The following is a 23,066-nucleotide window of genomic DNA, read 5'->3' on the forward strand; positions in this document are numbered from 1 at the left end:
TGTATGGTCAGTAGCCATGAGGTACAGGAGCTGCTGAGGCACTAAGCTAGTTCAGATGACATCCTCAAGCATGCTATAGCAGAAAAGAGTACATAAACATGTATATAACTTGCTCTGTGCCCATAAGAACACATATCTCAAAATAGAACATCACAAAATGGTTATGACTTAAGACTATGCCTAAGTGCTCATTAAAAGCAAACAATGAAAGATGCTACAACTTACCTTTGGCGTCAGTTTAACATAATAGGTAGAAAAATACTCATGTTTCCTTTTGTCTAAAGTTCATCAAGAGGTCTTAATTTCTAAAATGTGCTTTGTCCCAAATATTCAGAAAAAAAATCTCTTAGTTGATCCTTAAACATGCAGTATTTTTCCATTCTGACAAACAGAATGTTTTGTATATTCCAGAGGTGTTTTTCTCCTAAACTGTGCACCTGACAACCAAAATGAGATGCCATCATCCTCTGTCTAAGGGTGAAAAAAGGTGCTTCCAGCCTTTGCTCTGAGGAGATAAGAACCCTCTTGGAAAGTGTCCATCATTAAAATAGTGCTGGAGGGAGTTTACCTGCCTATATTTTAATTACTGTTTTATTCGCATTATTTAAGTTATCCCTATTGAAGTCAACCCCAAATCCACTGCCTAGCAATTATTTTTCTTTTTCATTAAGATATATCTGTCTTTACATCAAAACAAAACAGTACTTTTTAAAATTCATTATATTCACTAGAGTTATGGTGAATACGATTCTTTTACACCACTGGTGCCAGAGGACAAGATAAACATGCCACAAGGGCTAACGTTTTAGCCTGAGTCAGCATAATAATTATCACATTATTAGAGAATTGTGCTGTGTTGATTAGCATACATCAGCATACAAATCAATTTCCATGTAAGAACCAAAACCTTTCTCCAAATTTCAGTAGATTTACGCAAACCTCCCCCCAACCCCACTCCTTTGTGCCAGGTGAAGCTGGGAAACTTAGGGCACAGGAAGAGTTTCATTTTTGCAGTATTTCATTAGTCTGGAAAAGACAAAGGTTTACTCTGGAAATGAGTTACTTTCACGCTTTAAATGTACAGCTTGAGGAGGACGCTACTGCAAAAACAGGGAAGAGAAAGAAGCAGATAACGTATTTGGCAGTGTGAGAAGGATTCAATATTAAAGATTAGGACTGGTAATGTGTCCGGTCCAGGGTAAAAGAAGCTAAGAACCCACTGGTTGGTTCATTGAGATGTGAAGAAAGAGTTCATTCTTTTACACGACTCCTTGAGAATAGTGGTTAATTATTAGAGGTCTTGGAAATTCATATTTTTCTCCATTCTGAGAACATAGGCTCTATAAGAGGGAATTTTTTCCTTCCCCAAGCTTCCACTCTTTCCATTTTCCTTACCTAAAATTTAGCCAATTTTGTTTTTATTTACCTGTAGTATTTCATTCATTTATCTTGTAAGGTTCCAGAAGACAGAAATTGCATCCTATTGATTTTCTATTCCTCATGGTGCTGAACACTCAATATGTTTGTTTCTATTCATTATTTGCTAAGAGCTATAAACATAATAAAGTGTCTGAAAATTATTTTAAATTTTTCAGGGCATTTCCAAGTTGAAGGGGTGAATGGAAGCTCCTCTGGCAGCAGGTGTCACCTCCCAGATTAGGCACATGAAAATAAGAACCATGTTTATTATGGAAAAATGAATGCATTTTGACATAGGTAATGTCAAATTATATACTTAAATGGGTAATGAATCATAGAAATAAAATTGTTATTCCAAAGTGTGAGTAGTAGTTGCTTAAATGGCAAAAGATCATGACTTGGAGTCACACATTCTAAAACACGTTTGGACCAAGACTGCATGTGTTTTTTTCTTTTTTTTTCAGTCTTGATCTTTAGCATGTGACTTTTTATCCCTGAAAAATGCCCAGTTTACTCTCACTTCTGCTATACACTCTTGGTTGTGTGAAGCTAAGATGTCAGGAATTCTAAGCACTTAGAACAGAGACTGGACTGGCATTTCATAACCATTCAACATATCTTAGTGAACATAATTATGATAATGATGACTATTATTACTTTGTCTAAATCATATTATTTCTTCTCTGCCTATGGAGATTCTTGGTGGCTAGCATCTATTTCTGTATTTCTTAGTCCCACAATCAATGCATTTTTTTGTATCCATGTCAGTAGGAACATGTGTGAAGAGCAGAATGCAAAGCATAGTTAAATATCAATGCTCTAGTGCACCAAATGCATTCTCATGTGCCTATGACAAATTCCATATACTAAAGCTGATAGACACATCAAATAGAGATAAAAAGCAAAACATTTATTTTAGCAAGAATATATTAAATTCTTAGAATGTATTTGGCATGTGAATAAATACAAAAGCAAATAATAATTTAAGATTTATATAGAACTTCAAGTTTTTATCCTTGAACTTGGAGAATGATGATAACTATGGTGAAATAGAAATAAAGAATGGTGGTATTAATCCATTCATAAAAAAAGAAACCATCTGTCGGAGAAAACAAGTAGCCTCAAACAATTATTAATATAGGATTTTTTTATTATACATGTCAACAGTGAAAGTCACGCTACTTGACTTTTCAAGTTTCCGAAAAGCTCTAAAATTAGAAGTCAAACTTTTACAGTATGTATATACAGTAATGAATTCAGAGTCAAACTTCCCACCTACCATCCCTCCTATATATGGCCCCTTAACACTAATGGATGGATGGTTGTGGTTTGGAGGTGGTAACGAGGAAGAATGTTTTTCTCATAGAACTGATTCACACAAACCATTTATAAAAGGCAAGAATACTTAAATGAGTGCCTACAGGCTGTGGTAATAATAACTCACATCTGAAATTTGGAACCAAATATTTAAGAGAGTGTACTTTGTAGTATAACTACTTTTCTTGACTCAATCACTTCATTGTTTTGTTAAAGTGTTATGTCAAAGCTGTAAGTTAGAACTGCTACTAAATGATTATCTAATTCCTCTAGCGTGCCCTTCTCATTTGTTTGCAAAGCTACATGAAATAGGCTTCTGAGGAAATCGTATATTAATGTATATTTGTAGTAATTCATAGTGTTGAGTTATGTGAAGTCATAAAACGGCATTCTTTCTCATTTGTTAAAGGGCAAGTTTCACATCAGGAATGAAAAGAAATGACATTTTTATAAGAAGTAAACTTAAGTTGAGATAAATAGTCAAGGGCAAATAATACACATTTTTAGGTTATTTATATTTGTCATCATTATTTTCACTATCACTCATACTCAAGCCCTTTACCTGTTACCACTTATTACAAGACAAAAACAAAATGATTGTGATCATAAAAAATGAAATAGGTTAAGTTCAAACAAGAGCTACAATAGGAATCCTGTTGAAACTTAGTTGTAGCTAAAGCTTGGAGCTTGATATAGAGGTTACGCAAGTACTTAGATACTGAATGGCATGATGTTGTAAAATGTAAAATGTAGACTGTGCTCTGGACTGGAAAATTCAGATCTAACCACTTATTGAACTAAATCGTCCATTATATGTTAGGTTATCCATTATATGTTGAGTCTTTTATGCACATTAAATTATTCACTCCCAGGTTAAAATCGGAGTAGGAGTGGGAGTATTTTTGCGTATAGTAGTCAAGTATCCTGCAATTGGTTATCACAAATTCTACAGATAATAACATACTTAAATGTACTTTACATTTTGCATCTTTAGTAACACACTGTGCTTTCTGCAGAAAAACCTTTTGCAGACCTATGTCCCTGGTGAAGAGAAGTGATAAGATTGTCCAAAATCCAAATTACATCCATTTAAAGACACTGGAGACCAATAAAAGCTGTGGATTTGAGAGACTATGATCGCAGAGGAAAAAGAATTACAAAGGACTCCACCCAACATTCATTATGGCTTTTTCCTGTTAAAGCAATTGTTAATTCGCAAGCAAAAGGTAAAGGGCTAAGGAACAGAACAGGGCTTCTTAGGGGGTTGAAGGGACTGAAATGTGGTATGGGGACATCAAGGAGAAGGGGTCCTGGTAAATACCCCAGGCAAGAACTGTGAATGTTGATATCAATTCTACTCAGCCAAAGAAGATCCCATGTCACATATGTTTATATTTGTATTTGTGATATGTGTGTATACATATACACATACAAACACACATATTTATTTCAGAGGTGAACCAACGTTAAACCAACTTTTACTAAGATGAAACTGCAATTCTAAACAAGCTCCATCTCTCGCTGAATTGCATTAATATATTCTATCCCTTCTCTCTGGTTGAAGGAGGCAACAGGGAAATTCTCTCATGACAAAGAAAACAGTATCTAGAGATTACCTCCATAATTTTTATACATAACAGGCAGACAGCATCCCATTAGACAATTATCAGACATACCAAGGAAAGAGACCAAGTGTATCAAAGCCAGAAAACAGAAAAGACAATAGAAACAAACCCACAGTTGATGTAGATACTGGAGTTATCAGACAAGGATATTAAAATAAACATGATGAACATAGTTACATAGTTAGATAACAAGGTGGAGAACTTCAATAAAAAGCTGGGAATTAAAAATTAATCACATGGTAATTCTAAGTAACATACTGAGCATCACAGTAAATTCTATTCAAATTAGATAACACCATTATTTTTCCAAAAAATTTATAATTTTAAAATGTCTTTGGCCATTTATTTCTAAAAATTACTCCATTAATATATGAATCTCATAATTATGCTCAAATACAGGCTCTGGCTTTCATTCTCCATCTATAAAAGTGTCATTTTTAATATATGTGTTAGACCACTTGAAAATTTCAATTTTCCAATTGCAGTAGAAATGATTACTGTTAATAATTATATTGCAGTCAAAAGGTTAGCAAAGAGAATGCTAAAATACTGAAATGACCTAAAGATATTATTTAAACTATGGGCAGCTTGTTTTTCTTTTTCATTTATATCTTTCAGCCTTGTTACAGCATTGAAGGAGATAAAGTTGAAAGGTAGCCACTTTACTTGCCTGAATTTATCTAAAACTTCAAAAAATTATATAGCAAGTAAAGAAAATGTCTTAAAAACAATGAAATATAATATTATTTCACCACTTTTCACATAACGGTCTGAAAACATATATATATATAGAGAGAGTTTGTCTATATATATGGTGTTTATATATATGTTTTCAGACATATATACCAATATATATAAATACTCTGGTTTTGTACCTTTGGTGTTTGTATAAATGTGAACACCAAAGATAAAAAAAATAATTCATTCACCACTGAAAATATTAAGTCAGATGTAATAGCAGAGAAGCTCCAAATTAAAGATTATCCAAGGAGAGTGTAGATTTTATTCAATAAGTGAGGCAATTATTCATTTATGTGTTATCATGTTTTTATCATGGATTTAGGTAAAGTGAAGATATCATTAAGTCTCCACATGGATAAAGGAAATAATGCTTAATATATACATTGCCTCTTTTAGACTATATTACATATTCGAATATGACATTTTATATTGCTTTCTATTATTTTATATTTGGAAGTCTTATTTTCCCACCAAGATAATAGTAGCATATTTCATTCTGGAAATTTCCAACTCGCATGTGTTATAATTTAAAAAGCATTTTCTATGTCAGAAGTTTGGAATTAAAAAATAAAATAATTAAACAAATATATCCTGCTTCCCTTCTTTAGAAAGCTAGCACAGAGTAACAACTGGATTTTCTGGGTTCAAGCTGCAGAGTAATATATTCAAGCTATATGAACATGTACAATATACCTAATCTCTCCGTACCCTCATTTCCTCATTTTCTAAAAACACATAATAATATTACCTACTTCACAGCATTGCTATGAGAATCAAATGAGTTAATATATAGAAGGGCTTAAAAAATTCTTGGTACTTAGTAAGCATTTCGTGTTTGCTATTGTTATTCTTGTGGCCATTACTATCAATCTTATCACTGATATTATTTTATTTTACATTCAGGTCTCTTTGTTCGGCATGTATTGCCTACCTTTCTGTACCTGGCAAAGTATTTCTCATTTTTAAAACCTGTCCCGAACTCCTAGAAAGAGTGTCTCTTCTTGGTGTTCCCATAGCACTCTTTGCATGATTTGGTTATTATCAACCAAATGATGTTGAAATTATCTATTTGAGTATCTAAAAGCCCCTTACACACTTCCTACTCCCTCTATTCTACAAGACTATAAGCTCCTCATGGGAAAGGCTCTTTCTTATATGTTCAGTTTGTCTGATGTACAGCTCTGTCACACGTCCCCAAGTCCACTCCAGGTTCAGTGACCCACAAGGAGGGATCACAGGACTTAGCATGTAGTTACTTTCCTGGCTATGATTTATTACAGTGAAAGGATACAAAGCTAAATCAGCAAAGACAAAGGGTGCATGGGGCAAAGACCAGAAAAAAAAAAAAAAAAAAAAAAAAAAAAAAAAAACAGGCACAAGATTCCAAGAGTTCTTTCCCTGTGAAATATTCAGAATATGCTCTTTACCTCCAACACAGAATTGTGACAACACATGTGAAGTGTTGTCTACCAGGGAAACTCATCAGAAATTCAGTGTCTAAGGTTTATACTGGGGTTTGGTCACATAAATACTCTCTGCCCAGTCTTTAGCAAAACTCTAGACTCCTAGAAGGAAAACCAGGTGTTAAACCACATTTTACACAGCTAGGCATACCAAGCCACTTTTTTCATGTAGTTAAAGTTTTATATCATTGTAGGGAACTGTTTACCATTAAAGTTCCCAGATGCTAGTCAAGGACCAATCTTGCAAGCAGGCATGTGTTTTCTGCAAAAGAAACTAGCACATAAAATATATTCAATAACAATTGTGTAAACTGAACTAAATGAGCTATCCAATGAAACAATATTTCCGATGGTAAGTAAAATAAACCCAACTCTCAAAATGTCATATAACTTATAATGTGAAAAAAATGTTAGGTAGTCAAGTACACATTCACCTAATAAACATTTTTGGACACTCAGATACTGTAATATGTATTGTATTAGGTATGAGACTCTTAAAAATCCAAATACATAGAAGTGATATATAGAATGCTGGCTACAGAAGTGCAGGAATGGGGAGATGTTGGTCAAAGGGTACAAAGTTGCAGTTACGCAGGATGTATCTGGAGATTTCATACACAGCACGATGACGATAGTTAATAATATCATTTTGTGTACTGGCAATTTGCTAACAAAGTAGATACTAGGTGCTCTTACCACACACACACACACAAAGGTAACTATGTGAGGAGAGAGATTCGTTAATTTGGTCAACTATAGTAATCATTTTACTAAGTATATGTGTATTCAAAAAATCACGTTGTACACCTTATAGACCATAAAAAAGAAAAAAAGACAAAATAACTGAATCTAATATATAACGTGCTTTTTATATTTTTGCTTGATTTTCAGAAATTGAGGGAAAAAAATACTCTCCACAAAAACAGGCAAACAAAATCCTGAAATGGGTCAAAAGCTACGAGTTGGAAGCAAATATAAAAGCTGGGTTTGGCTTGGGGGTTAATCGCAGTATTAGCACTGGGACTGGAGCTCTGCTCTGGCCTTGCTACAAAGTAGGAGAGCTACATGGGAGCTGGTTGAGGATGAGGGGTCAGAATAAAAAAAGCCTTCTGTAAGCATGTACACTCTAAGCATTTTCTCTCCTCTCCCACTCTAAGCATGTACAGACCTCCTTAACATTTCCTTATCTCAGATACTTTTTGCTGGGTATAAAACAAAAGTTATTTTAAGTCAAGTTTCCTTCTGTGTTTTTGTTTTTTGTTTTTTTTTTGTAAAAGTTTAAAATGAAGAAAAAGATAAGTCTAGGTATCTTTAGTCACAGTAAAAAAAAGGAAGAGTGTTTTTAAGAGCAGTTAAAGGGAACCCCAGCAAGCAATGTGGACTAGTGGAACAGAACCACGCATACAGTCAAATCAAATGAACTAAGAAGCAACATCCTGACTAGCCAAGAATTATAATGGCATCTCATTATATTATATGATATGTTCACACGTAGAGTGCTGCTGACTGGCAGAGCAATGACCAGATACCTTGGATAAGACCAAGATATCAGGCTGATCTTTACTGAAGGTGTAATATGGCTAAATATCAGCAATTTTATAGAACCTTATCTATTAAACATGGATTAATGTGAAGTAATAATCTTAAAACTTAACACATACAGTTGATATCGCAGCATTTATTCATGTGATAATAAAGATTTTGGTACTGAATAGACATGGACATACTATATTGGACTATGTGTATGTATCAGCACACACACATGTGTACAGGGATTGGTAAAGATGGTGGGAACAGAGAAATTAAAAAGAAATAAGAACAAAAAAAGGAATAGGCAAACTCCTGGTCTTGAACATAAAAATCCTGTTATATGGACAGTGCTTTGGAGTGGGGCAGAGAAAGAGTGACATTTTTATCAAGTGTTCTTGTAAAACATTGCAGTACTCCCCAATTTGTAATCTCCATCCACACTCACCATTCTGAGAATAAATCAGCCACATCAATGAGGCAGCATTTGGTCTTTAATGTGAATGCCACATTTTCTAGCATTTCTATCTATATGTAGATATATAATGGAGATGATGAAATTCTTAATTTCTTAGTCTTGAAAGATAAAAATTGAAGGAGGTCAGATTATAATATTTAATGAGTACCTTTATGAGCCAGACATTGTTCTAAAATTTTATATATTTTATTTCACTTAATGAGCAGATAGCTGCTCATTGGGATAATTTGTTAACATTAAAAATGTGGTAAAGAATTAAGGCTGGAAGTATCAAATATGAAATAATACAAAAAGCTGTATATTTTTCACTCCTTAAATTAATTCAATTTATGTTGTGGTACCTAGCTAATATGCATATAATGACTTTTTCTGGTCAATGTAAACACTAATTTGTCTGAGAGACTAGTATTGATTGATGCAGAGCTATTATCAATATTGGAATTTGAGGGTCAGTTATTTTTGAAATGTATAACATTATTGACTGCATAGAGGTTATAACTTACAAAACACACAATATGGTAGAAAAAGATACATTTCAATATAAATCATTTGCCATTTCAAAGTTCCATTAATATAGGAAAACATAACTCTCAACTTAGTCATTTCAGAGACATTTTTAAAACAATCTCTAGATTTTACCATGAACTTTTATCCTCAGAGCTTTCTGCACAGTGTGGGTGTTGGCAGGAGGTCTACAGGGGCAGGGTGGGGAGAGGACTAGGGAACCATATTCCACCTTTTTCTTTACCATGATACTCACTGTGAACACAATCTCACTGTGGCCTGTATCTCCAGAGTGGTAAGAGGAACAAACAGGAAACACAGAAATAGAAAAGTAGACAGGGTACTGGAATGTAACTCTTCAGAATAATTTGTTCCAAACTCAAAGAAGGTAATTTAAACCAGCAAAACATCAGGAGCACCTCCAACCATAGGTTCAGGAATTGCACAGAACCCCCTTAGCATTAAGGGTTCCCATTTAGGCCCCTTCTGTGAGGGATGAGTGAGGGAACCATGAACCCTACGACCTGACCAGAACACATGACCCATTAAGTCTGTCGGGGATGGTTTCTTTCTAGAATGGGGTGTGTGTGCTTGCTGACAGCTCTTATTTTCTTCCAATGTGCAGGATTAAATATCCTGATCAGCAAAAGGTATTCCTGGTCCCCTTTGCTATGGTTCACTCTATAGCCAATACTTCTGAAAATAGTTTGTCCGTTTAGATTCCAGTGTACTGTGTTTGTGTTTTTTTAGAATTTTCAAGCCAGTGTGCTAAGGGTCACACAAACGATAACCATGGGAAGGAAATTGTATTAACCTTCATTTCTGCTTTATGTGAAAATGATTGAGACTGGTACAATTTCTGTAACTGTTAGACACAGATTAGGATTTGGCATTTGTTTTGTGAGCTATTATTATTTTAGAAATACTAAAATACATACATTCATTGAGTGCACTTTATGGATATATTAACTCATTGAATCCTCTTTTCTACTCTGTGAGGTATATGATACTATTATTATTTATTTATTTAATTTATTTATTTTTCAAGATGGAGTCTTGCTCTGTCACCTGGGTTGGTGTGCAATGGCGCGATCTTGACTCACTGAAACCTCTGCCTCCCAGGTTCAAGCGATTCTCCTGCCTCAGCCTCTTGAGTACCGGGTGCCCACCACCACACCAGGCTATTTTTTTGTATTTTTAGTAGAGACGGGGTTTCACCAGGTTAGCCAGGCTGGTCTCGAACTCCCGGCCTTGTGATCTGCCCACCTCAGCTTCCCAAAGTGCTAGGATTACAGGCGTGAGCCACCGCAACCAGCCCTATTATTTATTTTTATAGATTAAAAAACTATGTCACAGAATTTAAGAAATCTACCCAATATAAAGTAGCTAACAAATGACAAAAAGGAATTCACATCCACTCAGCCTGGCCTTCTGGTTCTGTGTTTGTGGGCATGCCACACCTCCTTTACTGAGTTACTATTCTGTTGTTTGGTGCTTGCCTAAGTTTTTCTAGGTTATCAGTTGTTAGAAGACAAACAATTTGTAAGGTACATGGATGTGCTTTGGTCAAGAATTAGGCCAAGGCAGACATCCAGGCCTGCATTACTTAGCGAGTTTAGGGTGCAGGCACATACTCCATTTGTTATGTAACCTGTTTGTTTAAGCTCATACTTGGCTCTCAGCCACTATTGTCTGTAGAAGGTATAACTGCCCTGCTGACACTGTACAGGATCTTGGGCATGGCTTGACATGGCGCTGGCACCCAGAGAAAGAGAGAGAGAGAATCAGAGCTGTCTGTCTTGCAGACGGACAGAGGACAGCTATTGCATGGCTCGTGCTGGTGCCCAGAGAGAGAAAGAGTTAAGCTGCTGACCCTGAAGGCAAGGGAGAGCCTGCTATGCAGCTGCCGGAAGGGCAGGAGCTGCAGAGCCAGAGCAGACAGCTGAGATAAAGGTGGACAGTGTTAGAGAGCTAATGTGAGTAAGCTGCTACTGAGAGACCTGCTAAATAAAACTACATTTCACCTGCCTATGGCGCCCCCGGAGTGTTCTTTCAGCTATCCACCCACTCCCCTTGGACCTCAGCTGGGGCTGGAACCTGACAATTGGCATTGTCAGCAGGATAAGGTGAGTGGGTCTTCAGCCCCTGAGGGCTCCTGGGTTGGCTCTGTGGCCGCAGCATGGACTGTGGTACCCAGTGGCAGCCATGCTGCGAGGAGGATGGGATCTGATGGAAACATGGGAGGCAGTGGATGGGTCTCCTGTGAGTATGAAGAGGGCACTGAAGTACCTGGAAGTGCACAGCACCAATGAGGAACATGCCTTTGCCAGCAGAGTCAGACGGGCATTTGTAACTGTGCTGCGGGAGGTGCATGCCCAGTTCCTGCAGGATGCCAGGCAGGGAGGAGGCTCCTCTGCTGCGGGCTCACCCTGTGATCCATCAGAAGGCAGAACATGAGCAGCCAATGGGACCCCAGGGGAGAGCCCAGGGCCCCCCCACAGTGGTGGAACACAGCTCTTATAGTGCTTATACCCCCACTGAGTTGCAGGAGTTAAGCAAGTAATCTCGGCAGTCATGTGCAGACTTAGTGTAAGTCACATGGGAGAAGGACATTGCTGCGCAACCCAGTCCTGCCCAAGCATTCCAGTTCACAGACTGCCTGCTGCAGTTAGGTGGAAGTGTAAAGCCTTTTCTGTTTGATAAGAGACTGACCAAGATGCCTGGCTTAGGGGGGCACTGGATGACCAAAGACCATATGTGGACTTGGCAATCTACTGGACTCTGAACCCGGATAAGTTTCTGGGCAGAGCTGCAGTTATTGATGGTTATGAAGACTGGTCAGTGAAAGCGAAACCTGTATCTTTGCATCTTGGTATCTGCTGCTTGGTTTTCCGCTCATGAACTGTGTATGTCTCTCCCATGCCTGAGGACATTCTGGCTGGGGATGTTTTACACGGCTTGGCAGCTGTACCATCTGTCACAGACTTGCTGGACTGCTTAACAATGGAACTGGGATTCTTGTCCAGAGAACCAGGAATAGTTTGCCTTCATTGGAGGGTGACAATGGACTTTCACAGTGTTGCTACAGGGCAATATGCATAGCCCCACTCTATGTCATAGTCTTGTTGATGATGTTATGTTAACTTCTGATTCTCTTGCAGATTTAAAAGTGGCAACGCCCCTCTTGCCTTAGATTTGGATAAGACTGAGGCAGCCTTTTCCAATAGCCAAGCAGGCTATTCAGCAGGCTCAAGCCCTGCAGGTAGTTAACCAGGGGCTCCCATTTAAACTTGATGTACATGAAATTACAGATAGTATTGGTTAGAGCCTATGGCAGTGCATGGAGTACTTGGAAGAACCAGTAAGCTTTTAGTCCCAGCTATATGGAAGGGAGCTGAGCTCTGGTGTTCATTAATAAAGAAGCAGTTAGTAACTGCATACACTGCCTTTCAGGCTCATAAGAGCATGTCAGGATGGGTTACAGTCATCATCGTGTGGACAACTTACCCAATAGCAGGATGGGTGCATTCATGGCCCCCCGGACTGGGATGGCACATATCCACTTTAGTGAAGTGGGGTGCCTACCTGGAAGAATGAAGTACCCTGAGTACAACTCCCTTAGCAGCAGAGTTACAAGAAGCCTTAGGATCCTAATGCAAGATAAGGCCATGGGGCCTGAGGCACCCCTAGACGCTGAGCTTTCACCATTAGGAAGTGCATCCCCCCATTCCTAATAGGGCATGGTATACAGATGGGTCTAGCCAAGGTGCTACTGCTGCCTGGACTGGTGTCACAATCCAGCCTAGTACTGACACGATGTGGTTTGAAACCAGGTGTAGGCAAAGTAGCTAATGAGCTGAATTCAGGGCACTGAGAATGGTAATCACCAAGGAGACAACACCTATGGTAATCTGCACCTATAGCTGGGCAGTTTATCAAAGCCCCTGTGTATGTATCAAGGCTGCGTGCCCAAACCTGCGTCCCAGAGCATATGTGTCAGGTTTATGTGTCTGGGGCCTATGTGCCAAAGCTGTATAGTGGGTCTGCATGCCTAAAGCTATGTATCAAACCTGTTTGTCCAAAACCTATGTCTCCCTCAACCTAGTGGGTAGAGTGTAAGGTACATGGATGTGCTTTGGTCAAGAATTAGGCCAAGGCAGACATCCAGGCCTGCATGACTCAGCAAGTTTAGGGTGCAGGCACATATTCTGCTTGTTACATAATCTGTTTATGTAAGTTCATACTTGGCTCTGAGCCACTATTGTCTGTAGAAGGTATAACTGCCCTGCTGACACTGTAAGGGCTCCTGGGCATGGCTTGACATGGCACTGGTACCCAGAGAAAGAGAGAGAACCAGAGGTGTCCATCTGCAAGACAGAGAGGAGTCATGGCAGGACTCCTGCTGGTGCCCAGAGACAGAAAGAGTTAAGCTGCTGACCCTGAAGGCAAGGGAGAGCCGGCCATGCTGTTGTAGGCATGGGGTCAGCAGGCGCCGCAGAGCTGGAGCAGACAGCGGAGATAAAGGTGAACAATGTGAGAGAGCTAATGTGATTAAGCTGCTGATGAGAGAGCTGCTGAATAAAACTACATTTCACCTGCCTATGGCCCCCGAGTGTTCTTTCAGCTATCTGCCATTCATCCACCCACTACCCTTGGACCTCAGCTGGGGCTGGAACCTGATACAATTGAGAAACAAAAAAAAGGGAGATCCCATAGATTTAACTGAGGAGAAAGGAAAAGAGTGACATAATTTTAAGAAGAGATTTTTAATGTATAATCTGGCACAAATCAATAATTTTCCAAAAAAAGGATTATCTAGGTCAGCCTTCCCCAATGCCAGTTGAATTTTCTGAACCATTCTCTCAATGTCCACAAGGCGAGTAGCAAATGGGAGATATTATTAGATACTGCCAATTAAATAAGAGTTAAAATGTGTTCATTTTTATATAAATAATTCAACAAAAATTGGCAATTCACAGACTTGTGAACCAGATGAATACAAACTATGAATATTTGATTAAGATTCTCAGAACTCTCTGTCTTTAATGAGTAAATTTTGGAAGTGCTTTCTGTAGAAGAGTGACTCAGGGAGAAAATAGCAGTACAGAGAATAGAGCAAATACCCACTATGAGGCATAAGTTGAGGAAAAGTAGGTCATGCTTTCATACTTAGCAATCTAAGGAAAGTAAATATAGAAATCTACAAAATATGCATCGGATAATTTATTAAATAATTTCTTCTGCCATTTCATAGGAGGGAGCTTTCACCTTTCACACTAACCCTTTTTCATACATATATACATATATATATACACATATATATACATATATACACTATATATACATATATACATATATATACATGCATATATATACACATATATATACACATACATATATATACATATATATATATATATTTTAAAAAACCATCACCCACTCCTCTCATGGGTAAAATACTTAAATGTTGAGCATATCTTATTAGCATTTGATTTATACATCACAAATATGTGTCTTTTGTTGAATTATCATTGTTGGTCTAGTAGGTTTGTCTTATTACTTGCCACATATTTAAAAGGTCCTCTTCAATTAGATCACATTAAGCTCAAAACAGGAAAGATGACATTGAGGAGTCTGGGGATGTCACTCCTTCAGTAAATGACTTTAGCATAAAAATGAGATGACAGAAGGATTCTTTACAAATCTCAATATTTGAAGAAAAAGTATGTTCTGGGTTGCTTCTGTTGTAAGAGATTAAAATGGGAAAGTGAGGTTCTGAACAAGGATTTATTATGGAAGCCAGGAATCACGAGGTGACTCCTACACCCCTCGGTCATGATGAATAAAGGTTTAAAGTAGAGTTTTTCAAAGAATGAAGGGATGGGGAAGCACTATCTTTCAACCCCAAGTCAACAAAGAAGAGCTATGGGGAGTGATGGGAATCTCCTGGGGGTTGGAAAATACACAGAAACCAGGCACCTGGCTACCTTTCTAATGAAAAGCACAGGAGAGATTATCCCCACATGGGGATCAGCAGGTACTCAGAGGTTTAAGGAAAAAGAATGCATCAGGATTTTCCACAACCAGGTGCAGGTCACACGAAGGAGCAAGTATGGGGTTACATAAGTTCCTTTCCATGAAAACCACAGGAGGAGGTGTGAAGACCTCAGCAAAGAAGGAATAACTTACCAGTCAGAATGAAGATCCAGCAGGGAACTGCAGGTGAGAGATCCTCAGCGACTGGTGTTTCTGGAATAACCAGGGAGAGCACTCTACAAGAAATACATATGAGGATAGCTTTAACTCCTGCCGGATGCAGCAAACCCAGGGGCGGTACCAGCTATCCTTTCAGCAAAAGCATTCCTTTCTCCCTCTCCTGTGCTCTAACCCCTGTGCTGGCAGGAGCAGAGGAGGGAGATAGGGAAGGAGAAGAGAAATGAATCACTTTCCCTTCTCCAACTGTAGGCATTCAGCCTATTCAGCAGGCCTAAACTCATGGAGCAGAGAGCTCTCAACTTCAAATCAGGCACAGAGTTTTTATTGTTATGTGAAATTTGAAAATATAATCATTAAAATAAAACTTGTTTGGCCAAAGGATTAAGAGGTTTGCTTTAGTTTAAGGTCAGGAGAAGAACTAGGCTATTGATTAAATGTATACACAACAGGGGAAAACAAAAAGAAGTTATAATACTATTATTAATATATCCTAGATCAGACTTGTTCTTACATTTAAAACTTACATTTCAACAGATAAAACTAAAAAAGGTGAGCAGAAATTTTAAGACAATAGATTTTGGCTTGTGAGTAGATATTGCTAGGATATAGCTTTGTGATCCTGGTTTTCAGGTGAAACACAGTATCAGAACTAGCCAGATTCCTTTACAACCCTACTGCAGTCACCAACCGTATCTATCTCAAATAATTCCAGATCACCTGTCCCTCTTTACAAATCACTGTATGTGCCCAAATTTGTTGGTTTCTTTTAAAACATTTTATCAAGAATAATGACATAACTGGATTTTAGCTATACTTCACTCCATATGTACTTACCTGCATCTACTATTCTAATAAACATTTGAATAATTTCTTTTTTGGTATTATATGTGTGTGTATTCTTCCCTGAACTTAGGTTTCTGATATAACTCATATCGGTTATTCATACAACAGCCTTTTCAATTCTCTGCATAGGATCTTGATAACTGTTCTATCTCATTTCTATCCATATGAAAGAGGAGTATGTCCTTCATTCAAAGTAAACATTAAGATAGACTGATAGACTGAGCCCAAGACTTCATTCTTCTCCATGGTAATAAATAGATCCCCGTGCAAAGAGATATTTTTTTTTTTTTTAGCTAATAAGCTTTATCTTTAAAACAGTTCTAGGTTGATGGAAAAATTAAGCGGAAAGTTCAGAGTTCCCATTACTCCCTCAGCTTCACTCCTTCTACTTCTCTATCACACAGTTTCTCCTATGTATTAGTGTGGTACATCTTGCATTACTGGTGCATGTATTACAACTAATGAGCCAATACCAATACAATGTTATTACCTTCAGTCCACTCATTTTGTTTCACAGTTCTATGGGTTTGTACAAATCCATAATGTCCTGTATCCACCATGAAAGTATCATACAGAATAGTTTCACTGTCCTAAAATATCACCTGTGCTTTTCCATTCATCCTGCCCCTTCCAACTTCCTAGCAACCACCGATCTTTTACTATAAGTTTTGCATTTTGCATAATGTCATATTGTTGGATATGTACGGCTACATACATTATACAGCCTTTTCAGACAGGCTTCCTTCACTTAGCAATATGCATTAAAGATTACTTCATAAAAACTGTAGTAAGAAAATGATAGACTAAAAATAGATTTTATTTCAATAAACACCACATTAGAAAGTTCAAAATAGAAACCATGGCTAATTAGCAGAAAACAATTCAAAACTATTATTCTAAAGAAAAAAGTCTAATAATATGAGTAAGCAGGAAATAAAAGACTGATTTGGATGATATATACATTATACATATATATACAGATGATATATACATTATATTAAACTTTATTTTATAATAAAATAGCAAATTATTTAGGTCAGATTCTAAGTAGTATGTGCTAATTTAGACTGAAGATGTCAAGATTCTGAGACTGTAATGAATGTCTTTTGAATTAGGTATGAAAATGATGGAATCATTTATCATAAAAAGGAAGGATTAGCAATAAAAATCTCCGGAAAGTTAAGAAAATGAAAAGACAAGCCACAGATTGGGAAAAAATATTTGCCAAACACATATCTGTAAAAAAAGAACAGGTATCCAAAATACCAAAGAACTCTTAAAATTCAACAATAAGAAGAAAAACCCATTTAAACAGTAGGCAGGAAATCTGAACAGATACTTAAAGAAGATATACAGATGGAAAATAAGCACATAGAAAGATGCTCAACATCATATGTCATTAAGGAGGTGTAAATAAAACAATGAGATGCCACTACACACCTATTAGAATGACCAAAATACAAAACAGTTACAACACCAAATGCTGGTGAGTATATAGTACAACAGGAACTCTCACTCATTGCTGATGGTAATGCAAAATGTTACAGCCACTCTGGAAGAAAGTTTGGCAGTGTCTTATAAAACCAAACATACTGTGTGGGATCATATGGTCAATAATGCTTCTTGGTATTTTCCCAAAGGAGTTAAAACTTACGTCCACGTATTAAGATTTGTTATTGCCAAAACTTGGAAGCAACGAAGATGTTATTTAATAAATGAATGAACAAACTGTGGTACTTTCATACAATGAAATATTATTTAGCAATAAAAAGAAATGAACTACCAAGACATAAAAAGACATGGAGAAATTTTCGAAGCATATTTCTAAGTGAAAGAAGCCGATATGAAAAGGCCACATAGTATATAATTTCAACTCTATAAGATTGTGGAAAAGGCACAACCATAGAGACAGTACACATAACAGAGGCTATCAGGATCTCAGGAGAAGGAAGGGAGGGAGAACTGAATAGGTAGGGCACGTGGGATTTTTCAGGCAGTGAAACCATTCTGTATTATACTGTAATTGTCAATATATGCCATCATACATTTGTCCAAACCTATACAATGTAAAACAGAGTGAAAGCTAACGTAAACTATGGGATTTAGTTAATAAAAATGTGTCAATATTCATTTATCAATTATAAAAAATGTACCACACTAATGCAAGATGTTTATAACAGGGGAAGCTGTGCAAGGGAAAGGGGGATATATGGGATTCTGTCTGTATATTCTGTGCAATTAATCTGCAAACCTAAATTGCTCCAGAAATACAGTCTATTTTTTTCAATCTCTTGAAAAGCACACAGCTAAAATTTGTTGAAGAAGATAGTATCAATCACGAAAGAAGGTGGTGGGGAGAGAGAGAAAAAGAGGAAATTAATGGTATTTTAGAAAGGATGATGAGAATGAGCAGAAATATTTAGAACATGGTCATATGCACCCACAGACGGATGTTTCTGGAGACGTGGTAGTCCACTGTGCCACTGCAGAGAGAGTTCCAAGACTCATGGTGAAGAAGCTTCCACGAGTGATAGTTTGGGCTCTTAGTCAAGTCACAATCGGTCCTTAACCTCTAGCTAAAAAAATGTATAGAAATTCCCTAGTATTTGGGTATTTATTTTCTAAACCCCTAAATTTATAAGATAGGATAGAAAAAACAAAACTCGTCACTACCCAAAAATATTCAGAAGTGAATTGACCACTTATAAAACTGGTTCCTAGGTTTTCCCCATTAATATTAGTTACCCATCTTCACTGCTCAGTTTCTTTACTGTTAAATTCCTCATGATTGCCAACTGGAGCACTGAAGATATCACATGAATGAAATTCAAATTAAGTACAGATTGAAATAGAAAATGTAGTGAACTACTAAAAATGATTTTGGAAGATAGAATTAGAAACTCATTGACAAATGGAAATGCATCACAGTCAAATAAATTAAAAACTAAAGAAAAGAATAATATACCTAGCTAAGCCTCAGAAAAGATCAATTTAAATATCAAAGCATTAATAAAGATCTCTGGTAAAAATGGGTTATGCCTCATGTCAGATATTTTTAAAAAGAATTATCTTAGAGACTATGCTGCAGGACTCAAACATAAAGTGAAAGGAGCAGATCATACTGTCCTATCATTTTGTTTGGGGAAATTATAGAAAATACCCTAAACTGTAAATAATAAAAAATAAATACGCCATAATTTTTATTTTTCTTTCCTTACAACTTTTACTTTAGTTTAAAGAGGTACACATGCAGCTTTGTTAAATGGATAAATTGCATGTTGTGAGGGTTCGGTGTACAGATAATTTTGTCACCCGGGTAATCAGCATAATACCCAATATGTAGTTTTTCAATCCTCACCTTCCTCCCACACTCCACCCTTAAGTGGGCCCCAATGTCTATTGTTCTTTTCTTTGCGTCCATGTGTACTCAATGTTTAGCTCCCACTTATAAGTAAAATATGTGGTATTTTGTTTTCTGTTCCTGCATTAATTTGTATAGCATTATGGCCTCCAGTTTCATCCATGTTGCTGCAAAGGCCATGATCACATTTTTGTTTATACTTAAGTAGTATTCCATGCTGTATATGTACTACATTTACTTTATCCAGTCCACTGTTGATGGGCACCTCGGTTGATGCCTTGTCTTTGCTCTTGAGAATAGTGCTGCAATTAACATACCTGTGCATGTGTCTTTATGATAGAACAAATTATATTACTTTGGGTATCTACTCAGTGATACGGTTTGACTCTGTGTTCCCACTCAAATCTCATGTTGAATTGTAATCCCAAATGTTGGGGGATGGACCTGGTGGGAGGTGATTGGATTATGGGAGAGGATTTCCCCCTTGCTGTTCTCATGATAGTGAGTTCTCACAAGATCTGCTTGTTTAAAAGTGTGTAGCATTTCCCCCTTTGCTCTGTTCCTCCCGCTCTGCCATGTGAAGAAGGTGTTTATTTCCCCTTCATCTTTCTGCTGTGATTGGAAGTTTCCTGAGGCCTCACCAACCATGCTTCTTGTACAGCCTGTGGAACTGTGAGTCAACTAAATCTCCTTTCTTCATAAATTACCCAGTCTCAAGTAGTTCTTTATAGCAGGGCAAGAATGGGCTAATATAGAAAATTCATATCAGGAGTGGGGTATCGCTATAAAGGTACCTGAAAATGTGGAAGGGACTTTGGAATGATGAGTGATAGTGAACATTTTTCACATGCATGTTGGTTGTATGTATGATTTCTTTTCAGAATTGTCTGTTCATACCATCTGCCCATTTTTAATGGGATTGGTTTTTGCTTGTTGATTTGTTTGAATTCCTTGTATATTTTAGATATTAAATTTTGTTGAATGCATGGTTGGCAAATATTGTCTCCCATTCTATAGGTTGCCTGTTTACTCTGTTGTTAGTTTCTTTTTCTGTGTAGAAGCTCTTTAGTTTAATTAGGTCTGTTAATTTTCGTTTTTGTTACAATCGCTTTTGGAGTCTTCATCATGAAGTCTTTGCCTGGGTCGAGGTCCAGAATGGTATTTCCTAGATTTTCTTCTAGGGTATTCATAATCATAGGTTTTGAAGTTAAATCTTTAATCCATCTTGAGTTGAATTTTGTGTACAGTGAAAAGTAGGGGTCCAGTTTCAATTTTCTGCATATGACTAGTCAATTATCCCAACACCATTTACTGAATAGGGAGTCCTTTCCCCATTTCTTGTTTTTGTTGGGTTTGTTGAATATCAGATGGTTGCAGATGTGTGGCTTTATTTCTGGGTTTTCTAATCTGTTCCATTTGTATGTTTTTGTATCAGTGCCATGTTATTTTAGTTACTGTTGCCTTATAGTATAGTTTGAAGTTGGGTAGTGTGATGACTCCTGCTTTGTTCTTTTTGCATAGGATCACTTTGGCTCTTTGGGATTTTTTGTTGTTGTCATTACAAATGGATTTTAGAATTTTTTTTCTAATACTGTGAAAAAATGTCATTGGTAGTCTGATAAGAATAGCCTTCACTCCGTGGATTGCTTTGGGCAGTATGGTCATTCTAACAATATTTACTCTTCCTATCTATGATCATGGAATATTTTTCCATTTGTCTATGTCAACTCTGATTTCTTTCAACTATGTTTTGTAATTCTCATTGTAGAGATCTTTCACCTCCCTAGTGAGCTGTATTCCTGGGTGTATTCCTATTTTATTCTTTTTGTGGCTACTGTGAATGAAATTGTGTTATTGGCTTGGCTCTCAGCTTGGATGTTATTGGTATATAGAAATGCTATTGATTTTTATACATTGGTTTTGTATCCTGAAACTTTGCTGAAGTTGTTTATCAGATCTAGGAGCCTGTGGGCAGAGACTATGGGGTTTTCTAGGTATAGTATCATAATATATGTGAAGAGATAAGGTTTGACTTCCTCTCTTCCTATTTGGATGCCCTTTATTACTTTCTCTTGCCTTATTGCTCTGGCTAGGACTTTCAGTACCATGTTGAGTAGGAGTGGTGAAAGTGGTCATCCTTGTCTTGTTCCCGTTTCTCAAAGGGAATGCTCCCAGCTTTTGCCTGTTCAGTAGGATTTTGACTGTGGGTTTGTTGTGGATGGTTCTTATTATTTTGAGGTGTGTACCTTTGATGCCTAGTTTGTTGAGGGCTTTTAGCATGAAGGGATGTTGAATTTTATTGAAAGCCTTTTCTGCGTCTATTTTTGTTTCTTTGTTTTTAGTTATATCACTTTTTAAGATGGCTTGCTACCACTGTTTTTTCCTCTCACTACCTATGACATTTTTATCCTAATTTTAAAGTTATTCTGTTGTAGTCGGCTTTTCCTGATACAATTAGATTTCAATTAGAAGACTGCTACCACCATTATCCCAATACTCAATACATGTGACCATTTGTCCTCATTCACAAATTTCTCAAAAGTATGACACAGAAGAGGAAACACCAAGCATCTTGCACTGGTTCTGCCCCCTCCATTAAGTCTCTGGCTCCCATGTTAGTCACTCTCAAACAGCTTCAAGTCCGAGTTTGGCTAGCCTCAGCCCACATATGGTCACTGAAATTCAGCATCCTAACCAATGCCCAGCAGCTTTTCTAAAACATTAAAAAAATAATGTTATGAATTGATCAAAACTTGAGACACATCTATGAAGGGTCTGCAAATGCAATATCCTATAGTATGGCAGTAGAGTATCATTATATTTAATTAATATAAAACAGCTAATTAGTATTTCTGTAAATATAGTATTTTATCATAAAATTTTCCCACTGATTGACCCTCATCTCTATTTCCAAGGCTGTGACTGTCACTATTACTGGCACTGAAGAGAACACAGGAGAAGTAGATTATGGGACCCATGCCTGAAAGTTTTTGTGATAATTTGGAGCTATATTTTCTTAGTTTACAATTTTAAGAAATTATAATTAATCATTATAATTACATCATTTTATTTTGTAGTAATTACCCACAATTACAATAGTAAAAGGGGTTAAGAACTATGGCAGATGCTGGGAACAGTAACTCACACCTATAATCCTAACACTTCAAGAGGCCCAGGAAGGAGGATTACATGAGCCCAGGAGTTCGAGACCAGCCTGGGCAACAAAATGAAACCTCATCTCTATGGAATAATTTAAAAATTAGTCAGGCATGGTGGTGTGCACTTGTAGACCCCGCTTAAAAAAAAAAGAACTATGGCAGAAAAAAATTAAAACTAGCCTAGTAACATAGCCAGACTCTGACTCTACACAAAACAGAAAAAATTACCCAGGCATGGTGGCTTGTGCCTGTTTTCTCAGCCTCAGGAGACTGAAGTGGGAGGATTACTTGAGCGTGAGAGGTAATGAGCCATGATTACAGCACTGCACTCCGGCCTGGGTGACAGAGCAAGACCCTGTCTCAAAAAGAAAAAGAAAAAAAGAAAGAAAGAAAGAAACTTTAAAGACATTGTCA

At 37.1% G+C, this 23,066-nt stretch overlaps 1 long non-coding RNA gene across 1 annotated transcript in view; it reads right to left on the reverse strand.

Moving 5' to 3' along the window:
- LOC124901589 (uncharacterized) overlaps window positions 1-15,348 on the reverse strand; it is a 204,867-nt gene extending 189,519 nt beyond the window's left edge. The window contains exon 1 of the long non-coding RNA XR_007060211.1: window positions 15,264-15,348. This is a non-coding gene — a long non-coding RNA (uncharacterized LOC124901589). The remainder of the gene's footprint in view (window positions 1-15,263) is intronic.
- Between the last annotated feature and the right edge of the window lie 7,718 nt (window positions 15,349-23,066).

The sequence above is a fragment of the Homo sapiens genome, chromosome 7 (genome assembly GCF_000001405.40).
Source record: "Homo sapiens chromosome 7, GRCh38.p14 Primary Assembly".
NCBI lineage: Eukaryota > Metazoa > Chordata > Mammalia > Primates > Hominidae > Homo > Homo sapiens.